Raw genomic sequence first — 9,947 nt, 5'->3', positions numbered from 1 at the left:
AACAAAGAAAAGAAAAGAAATAAAAATTGCATTGAAACAGCCTAGGCTGGGTGCGGTGGCTCACGCTTATAATCCCAGCACTTTGGGAGGCCAAAGTGGGTGGATCACTTGAGGTCAGGAGTTCGAGACCAGCCTGGCCAACATGGAGAAACCCTGTCTCTACTAAAACTAAAAAAATTAGCCAGGCATGGTGGCGGGCACCTGTAATCCCAGCTACTTGGGAGGCTGAGGCAGGAGAATCACTTGAACCTGGGAGGTGGAGGCTGCAGTGAGCCAAGATCCCACCACTGCACTCCAGCCTGGGCAACAGAGGGAGACTCCATCAAAACAAATAAACAAACAAAAAAACGCCACAGCCCAATTTGTTTAATTTTATTTTTATTTATTTTAAGGTTGGAATTGCTTTTATTGGGTTGGATGCCCATGGTCAGGTTAGTGTTCTGCCCTCGAAGAGATGCCAGCAGCCTGACACCTCCACCTGCCACCTGCCCGGGTTAGTGGAACATGCAAAGCTCGGAGGGTGGAGGCAGGGGTGGAAACAGCCCAATTTTTAACTGGCATTTCAGATTAACCCATTTATGCCTGAGGTTGCAATTTTTTGAATTTTTGCAATCAGAACTTGGCAATGACCTTGAGCAGTAGGATACAAATAACTCCCACATACTTAGTGTTCCAGTAATGGAACACTAGTCATAAATGGGCTAAGTTCTATCACTGACTACTTTAACAAATATTATCTCTAAAGACATCTTGGTTAAGTCATAGTACAAATTATGTCACAGAAAATATTTATAAACGTGGCTATTTGCCAAGCTATCTTGGGACCAGAAAATTAGTTCTGCATTTTTGTATTATTTGTATTTTCTGAATAAAACTGTCATGGGACTTTATACTTAGCAGAATTGGTCACACATATACAATCATATGCTGAATTATATACAAAACTGAGCATTTGCACATTTGATTTATTTTGTCATAAAAGTGACGTAAAATTGGCAATTCTACCCCTGAAGTAATTTATTAATAATTCCCTTCCCATAAAATAATGAATGCCCTGAGTCACTACTAACACCATCTCTGCATAAGCTTTTTTATCTTTTTGTTTTTAATGCCCTTCTGATTCTTGTAATTGGGACGTGCAAAACCATAAACATTTGATATACTGCAGAACTTCTCCAGATCAATACAGATTGGACCTTGATTTTACTTTTAAAAATTACTTCACTTCATTAAGTAATGAAATACTTTTATAAAAACATTTCAAAAAGCAAATTAAGCCTTCAAATATTAAACTCAAGTACACATACCCAGATATTCATGCACTAACAAAATTTTAACATGTTTTGTGAAAGTCAAATGGGTGCAATTAAAATGGAACAAATCACTTGTGGTGGAGGCGGGGAGGAGGAACAGTAAGAGGGGAAGGGGCTGGATTCTAAGCCCCAAGCTAAATCCAGGAATTCTTTCCAGATCCCCCATCTACCTAACAGTATTCCTTTCTTTCTTTAAAAATCAGTAGAGAGATTTGCACCAAATGACAGTCTCTATCTTTCCAATGGAAAAAGAAAACATTTTACATGTACAACTTCCAAATTTACAATAATCAAGATTCCTGATTTATCAGTTCTTTCAGGTCTCTGCCTCTCTGAGGCTAAGGAATATTTATGTCTTCTTCTGAATGCCCTCTTTGCTCCTGGCTGAGTCATCCGTGAGGCTGGATCACTTTGCCCTTTTCCCAGGCTTGGAACCAGTGTCTCTTACATTTCAGTCACCACTGTAAAGTTCCAAAGAGGCGGTGGATTCATATTTCACCTTTGATTTTTCCTCCCGCTAACCTCTGTGTTCTCTCCGTCTCTCTCTCTTCTCTCTCTGTGTTTTCTCTCTCTCTGTTTCTCTCTCTGTCTTCTCTCTCTCTCTTCCGTCATCTAGCCTTTACCCCAGTCCCACCTGCAAAGTCAGTGTACTTTGCCCAAGTCTTACAAGGGCACCTCCTAATCCTGTAATGACAGTTGTATAGAGTCTGAGGGTAGAAACCAAACAACTCACAAAGATTTTTATTTATTTATTTATTTATTTTTGAAATGGAGTCTCGCTCTTTCATCCAGGCTGGAGTGCAGTGGCACCATCTCGGCTCACTGAAACCTTTGCCCCCACCCTGGTTTAAGCAATTCTCCTGCCTCAGTCCCCTGAGTAGCTGGGATTATAGGCACACACCACTAAGCCCGGCTAATTTTTGTTATTCTAGTGGAGCTGGTCTCGAACTCCTGACTTCAAGTGATCCACTTGCCTCAGTCTCCCAGAGTGCTAGGTTCACAGGCATGAGCCACCATAGCCAGCCTATTTTTATTTTTTAAACTTTTATTTGAAGTTCAGGGTTGCACGTGCAGCTTTATTTCATAGGTAAACTTGTGTCATGGGGTTTGTTGTATAGATTATTTCATCCCCCAGGTATGAAGCCTAGGACCCATTAGTTGTTTTTCTTGATCCTCTCCCTCCTCCCATCCTCCACCCTCCAAAAGGCCCCAGTGTGTGTTGCTCTCCTCTATGTGTTCATGTGTTCTCATCATTTAGCCCCCACTTATAAGTGAGGATGTGCAGTATTTGGTTTTCTGTTCCTGTGTTGGTTAGCTAAGGATGATGTCACAAAGACTTTTCTTAAAAAATAAATTCTATTGTGTGTATTTGAGGTTCATAACAAATGTTATGGGATACATATAGATAGTAAAGTGGTTACCATAGCGAAGCATATTAACATAGCCATCATCTCACATAGTTACTTTCCTTTTTGGTGACAAGAGCAGCTGAAATCTACTAACTTAACAGAAATCTCTAATACAATAAAGTTTTATTAACTTTAGTGTTTTTTTGTTTGTTTGTTTTTTGTTTTTTTTTTTTGAGAGAGAGTCTTGCTCTATTGCCCAGAGCAGTCTCGGCTCACTGCAAGCTCTGCCTCCCAGGTTCACGCCATTCTCCCGCCTCAGCCTCCAGAGCAGCTGGGACTACAGGTGCCCACCACCACGCCTGGCTAATATTTTGTATTTTTAGTAGAGACGGGGTTTCACTGTGTTAGCCAGGATGGTCTTGATCTCCTGACCTTGTGATCCACCCGCCTCGGCCTCTCAAAGTGCTGGGATTACAGGCGTGAGCCACAGCGCCCAGCCAACTTTAGTTCTGATGTTGCACATTACATTTCTAACCTTGTTCATGCTACGTATCCCACAAAGACTGAAGTTTTGTTTTTGTTTTTGTTTTTGAGACAGAGTCTTGCTCTGTCACCCAGGCTGGAGTGCAGTGGCATGATCTTGGCTCACTGCAACTTCTGTCTCCCAGGTTCAAGAGGTTCTCCTGCCTCAGCCTCCCGAATACCTGGGATTATAGGTGTGTGCCACCACGCCCAGCTAATTTTTGTATTTTTAGTAGAGATGGGGTTTCGCTATGTTGGCCAGGTTGGTCTTGAACTCCTGACCTCAGGTGATCTGCCCGCTTCAGCCTCCCAAAGTGCTGGGATTACAGTTGTAAGCCACCGCGCCTAGCCTGAAGATTTTTCTTTTTTATATCTTAAAGTAATAAGATTAAAATTGTGATTTTTCTGAGAATCTACTATGTACAATTCCATATATTACCTGGCACCGGTTCACCTATATTATTTCTGATCCCAAAACCAAAGGGAATGCTGTATTTCATCAAATCTAAGATACATTGATTGTAACACTTGCCATTACTTTATGCCATATGAAGAGAAAAGCCCTACCAACTATATTGTGGCCTGCCATTGATCGCTAATTACATCCTAATTTCAGCGATGTTAAAATGTTAAGAAAAAAAGGTGTGTCTTAGAACTGATGAAGAGGAATTTTACAGGTGAGGAAGCTGGAGCTTAGAGAAGCTGGGTAATGTGGCCAGAACCAGAGAGCTAAGAAGAAGCAGAGATTTTAGACCACTCACTGCCTCTCCAGAGGTTTGAAGGCTTTTCTTTTCCTGAGTGGTTTCTTCTTTCCTGCCTGCCTTTTGTCAGGAACCGATGTTAAGCCATCTGTCTGGAAAACACGTTCTCCGCTTTAAACTACCCAGACTTCTACCAGAGCTAAAACAGCAGGCTTTTTGAGACGGCTTCCCCTCTTCACGGAGCCTAATTATGGAAACTGTGCATTCTGCTGTTGCTGCATTATTTTTCACAGTGGTAAGGTCACAGGGGAAGCAGTGGGAGCTAGTGATGGCTGCAAAACCTTCCCCTTCTCCCCCACAGCTCTTTGTGTCTGTGGCACCCAGGGACAGCCACAGTACCAAGGAGTGGTTTAATAAAAGCTGATTTAGGGAGCTGGGCCTCTGGGAAAATTCCCCCGTGCCTCTCCTCATCAGATCTTCTTGCTTTTCTCTGTCAAAATTAGCTGCCCCTCTGATCCCTAACTCAATTTCACTCCTTAGACTTTGAAGTTTTGTTTCCCTCTGAAATGATGCTCTTTGTGGCCTGAAGTGAACTCTCAATTGCTAAGCCCACTGCCCACTTAATGCAGTTTATTTATTTAGTGAGTCACTCAATATTTCCTGGACACCGATGACACACAGGTAGTCGGCTAGACCCTGAGGGGGAACCGTGAGCCAACACATGCAATTCCTGTCCTCACTGGAGCTCACAACCCTCGGGACAGAGACAGACACCATCCAAGAAGCTCATAAATAAATGTAAAGTGACAACTGTGATAAGAGGCTTTTACAAAAAGCTGTGGCAGAGACAAGTAGAGCTTCCTAAATATTCCATGAGCTGGGCATGGTGGCAAACACCTGTCATCTCAGCTACGCAGGAGGCTCAGGCAGGAGGATTGCTTGAACCCAAGAGTTTGAGACCAACCAGGGCAACAACTGAGACCCCATCTCTTAAAAATAACTAACTAACTAACTAACTAACTAACTAACTAACTAACTATTCCACGTACATCCCACTATTTCCCAATACCTTTTACAGTTTAGTCTGGGGCATGTGATCAATTCTGGCAAGGACCTTGAGTGGGTGTGATTTGTGTCACCTCCAAGGATGCACTTTAAAAGCTGGTGTGCTTCCTTCTCATGCTCCGCATTGGTGACATTGGGTGTGGCATATTGCCAGGTGGCCAGTGTAACTACAAATGAAGGAGGCCTTCCCAAGCCACGTGGAAGTAGAAGAAATCAGCCTCTGTTGTGCTTGCTCACTGGGATTGCATGTTTGACTCAGTGATTGGTGGTAATGATCTGAACTAATACAGAATCACATACTCCTAAGAAGGAAAACGGGGAAAGAAAGAACCAGGCAAAAGGCCAAGAAAGGGGTCTTCAGAGAAATGATGTCTAAGCTGGGGCGCAAAGGAAGAGTGGGAGTCAACTTGGAGAGCAGGGTGGGGAGGAGTGTTCCAGGCAGACTGATGGCATGAGCAAAGGCCCTGGGATCTGAGGGTGCAGGGCATGCTCGATGGAGTGGACGAAGGGCAGAAACATGGGGGAGTGCAGCCTGAGGGGCTTCTCTACTCTCTGGCTCATCTGAGACAAAACCTGGTGTCCAGGTCACACACTGGGATGCCATCTTTAAACCATGAGGAAATGGCTAACAGAGGCCACCTTGTCCCCAAAAGGCTATTGAACCATCACTGCTGCCCAAGTCCCACTGCACAGCTGTAGGCTGCTGGATGGGTCACCTAGGCTTAGCGTGGGGAGTCAGCTTTGCCCTCCTCCTTTCTTACCCACTCACAACCAGCCAGCAGCGGGCCCTGTGTAGCTCATCATCTGCCCCTGTGTTGCCCTGTCTGGTTCTGCTCAAATAGAGGGCCCTGGGGAGGGGAGAGGAGTCCTGGGAAGCTCTTACCCAGCATTGCTGGGGATGGAACCCTAATGCTGTGGGAGGAGCCAGGGGATAGCTGGGCAAGAGGACCGGGATCAAATGAGAGGACCATGGTGAGGACCACAGGGTATAAGGAAGAGACATGGGGGTGGTAGTCTTGAGGTTTCTGGAGGGCCAGTCTGACCTGAGTCCCCTTCTCAAAGGGTGCCACACTTTACGCCTGTGAATGCGGAGCCTGGGTTGCCCAGTTCACATTTCTGAGGTGCCCAGAGGCCCAAAGGGGGTGCTGGAGGCTGGGCAGGCACTTGCTGCCTCCCAAACTGTGGCTGTGGTCTGCACCTGCCCCTTAGTTTGGCCAGGCCTGCCTCTTCCATCTCCCCGAAGACAGCTCTGCCTGTTTCACAGCTGCTCAAGACCGTGCGGAGAGCTCCCCTCTCAGCACAAACACAGGCTGGTGTCCAGGGACTCAGCTCTGGCCTCTGACTACCTTCCCATCACTCCTCTTCCCAGTCCTGCCCTCAGCTGGACCTAACAGCTATTTCCATCCTTCACTGGCCCGAATATCAACGCTCTAGAGCAGGACAAGACTTTGTTCACCACACAGAGGATGTATCACAGCAGATCTCATGTTGGCCTAATCAATATCCAGCCCCATTTTCGCCTTCGTACGAGGACCCTGATTTAGTTCCATGCAGCGGTGTGCCCAGCAGAAGGTGCTGACTTCATCTACCATGGCAGTCCCGTTCCCAGTTCTCTCAGCTCTCTTGCAGCCAAGGGAAGGCCAAGGGACACGGTTCTCTCAAGAAGACCCAGTGGGAATATGCTGGAGAGAAGGAGTGTTTTCTAGACAAGCATTTGCTTTCCTGGTAATAGGGGAGATACACAGCTGGTACATCGTTTTCTCCTTCTTCCTTCCTTGACTGTAGATGCAATGGCTGGAGCAGGGACAGCCATCTTTCAACCATGAGGAAATGGCTAGCAGAGTCCACCTTGTCCTCAAAAGGCTATTGAGCCATCACCATCATCTGTCTGACTCTAGACTTCTTATCCTGTATATCCCAAACTTATTTAAGCCACTGCAGCCATGTTGCTGTTGCTTGCAGCAAAATTGGGTTCCTATCTGATACACCTATCCAAGAACCTAGGCTTGCACGATTTCTCTGATCTTAATCCCAGTAACCCTCACCTCTGCTCCATTTCAGCTCCGTACCACATTCAAATCCTGGAACTTGTCATCACCTAGAGCTACTCCACACCTGAAATATCTGATACAAGCAGCTCATTTCCCTTCCTTCCTTCCTTCTTTCTTTTCTTTAATTTTCTTTTCTTTTCTTTTCTTTCGACAGAGTTTCACTCTTGTCACCCACTGCTGGAGTGCAATGGTGTGATCTCGGCTCACTCCAACCTCTGCCTCCCAGGTTCAAGCGATTCTCCTGTCTCAGCCTCCCAAGTAGCTGGGATTACAGGCGCCTACCACCACACCCAGCTAATTTTTGTATTTTTAGTAGAGACAGGGTTTTACCATGTTGGCCAGGCTGGTTTCGAACTCCTGACCTCAGGCGATCCACCCGCCTCAGCCTCCTGAAGTGCTGGGATTGCAGGTGCACTTGGCCACTGCATCCGGCCAAGCAGCTCATTTTCTGACTCACACTCTGATCCTTCCTTATCCCTGGGGTGATTATAAGAGGGTGCTATTCTTTGCGAATTGGAAAGTTAGTGTGCACTCCCTTTACAAAGGGTCAGGATCTGCAGAAAGCTCTCATTAATATTTCTTTCTGGTGATCATCCTGTACTGAACACTGTACGGCTCCCACCATCCTGGTTTTCCAGTGTGTCACACCCACCCACCCACCCACCCTTGTCTCTGAGGACGAAGTGTTCCTCCTCATGGTCAGGTCCAGCCCCTCACGCTGCCTCAATTTTGTCCCTCTTGCTCCAATTTGCTCACAACTTGCTGCAGTCACTCCTATCTCCCTCTGACCCTCAATGTACAAACATGCTCAAGTTCTCCCCACCCAAAAAACACTTTCCTTTGATCCTATACTCCCCTCTTGCCTCTCCCTCTTTCCTTTCCTTTTGCCCTGAGCTTATTATAAGAGCCATCTTCACTGGGTAATCCTAGCCTTCGTTGCTCTATCATTCCCCACCACAGTACCCTGGTTCTGTCCCTACCACGCCACTGTAACTGTTTACCAAAGTCTCCAGACTTCCAGATTATCAAACCCACGGGATACATTTCAGTCCTTATCTTTCTGGGCCTCTTTGTTGCATTTGAAATGGCAACCACATTCTCCTCCTGGAAACTTTCCACTTCCTTGATTTCTAAGACAGCCTCTCGCCTGGAGCTCTTCCCACCTGTCGAGCAATTCTTCTGAGACTGCTTGGTGGAGACGCGGGGTCTTGAGACCTGAGTCTTGCTCCTAGGCTCCCACGCTCAGCTTAGTGTTCTTCTCTGTCTCACACTGTGCCTGTCATTTCTCATCTGTGTTAGAATTTCTATCACCTCTATGCTGCCAACACTCTAATACATATCTTCAGCCCTTATATGGCTTCTAAGGTTCAAAAAATTGCTCTGCAAACTGTGGCTTGCATCTCTAGCTGCCCCATGAACACTGCCATGTGGCGGACCACCAAGTTCAAGTTCCTCAGGATGACTTATGTGCCCTCGGGTCCTGGCTTCTGCTCGTTCTTCAGTCTGACACCCAATCTACTCACTCCAGAGGCACGGGACTTCCCACGCCACGCCGTGATGCCTCATCCCTCTGAGTTGTAAGCCATATGGCCTGAAACCCCCTTCCACTCCTTTCTTCTTTGCCTCATTCTTACTCATCCTCAGTGCCCAGCACAGGTATCACCTCTGCCAGGAAGCTTTACCTGCCTGTTGTCCTCGGGCAGAGCCGGGTGCCCCTCTTCTGGGCAACACCTGTGTCACAGCACGTATCACAGCACATTAACTCCAAGGCATCTGTTCATGTGTTTCTCTCCTCTGAGACTGTCCTTGAGCATAGAGACCATGTCTGGGTACCTCAAGCCCTTACCTAGCACAGTGCCTGGGGCACGGGGGCTATACCCCTCTGGACTCCTCCTTGTGGTGACATGATGCAGCTCCTGGTTGCTCAGCCAGTTATATAGGGTTTTCTGTTGCTCACAACCAAAAGTATCCTAGTTGATGCATTTAATAAAGGTGTTTGAGTTAAACTGAGCTACCCACCATCTTAAGATATTTGAAGACAACTTCCTGGCATTCTGAGTTTATATTCCTCCATGTAGACATCCCTATCTACACCCCACCAGCCACCTCCTAAGCTCTTTATTTTTATTCGACTGAACAAATGAATATTGATCAAGTTGAATTGAATTTGTACATTTCACATGAGGAAGTGAGCATTCACTGTGCAGTCAACCCTACTCCTTCCTTGGGAGCTTTGACAAAAATCTCTTGGTTGGGAGATGGGCTCACAGCGTGTTCTCAAAGGGAGCTCTGGGGACCTTCTACTGCTGAATCATCTGGGTGATATTAAAAGTACAGATTCCCAGGCCTATCCCAGAATTAATGGGTCAGAATCTCTGGGAGCCAGGCCCAGTACTCTGCATTTTTACAAGAACATTAGGATATTATAGCGAACACTCGAATTTGAGAACCACTTGTAGAAGAAAGTAAAGATGAGGTCCATGAGCCTCTGACTCTCTCTGAGCTCTGGGGCCTGTGCTGATCTCTGTGTTCTGGGTTTATTCATATTCCAGATGATGACAATACTGGAACCTTCTGCCTATTGAGGTTCCAGTGGGATAGCATAAGGGCACTTTACAAAGTACCAACTAATCTTTGCATGCCATCTGTTGGTATTGCTCTAAGGTAAGTTCTGCTTAGTTAGGTCTGTTTTTTTCTTAGATGTACTCCCTAAGAGCCCAGAACAATTTATATGACATAGCAGATGCTCAATAAATATTTGTGAATGAAGTACTTTTTCACTGTGTATTCCCAGCATAAGGTCAGGCACATGGTAGATGCTTAAAAATACCTGTTGAATGGATACTCCTCAGGCCAACACACCTGCTTATAATCCCCTTAACACTTTGGGCTGAAAGCTGATACTTTGCCTAACACATCAAGTGCTGAACTCTTTCTCTTGCAATT

General features: G+C 45.9%; 1 annotated feature.

The window, feature by feature from the left end:
• Positions 8,468 to 8,517: an enhancer, noted in NCBI's record as "active region_17247". NCBI's record gives its function as "activates an Ori minimal core promoter by ATAC-STARR-seq in GM12878 lymphoblastoid cells {active_cell/tissue: GM12878}" and the evidence as "EXISTENCE:reporter gene assay evidence [ECO:0000049][PMID:35858748]".

This window comes from Homo sapiens, chromosome 2, assembly GCF_000001405.40.
Source record: "Homo sapiens chromosome 2, GRCh38.p14 Primary Assembly".
In the NCBI taxonomy this organism is placed as follows: domain Eukaryota; kingdom Metazoa; phylum Chordata; class Mammalia; order Primates; family Hominidae; genus Homo; species Homo sapiens.
This window is presented reverse-complemented; position numbering and strand designations above follow the sequence as displayed.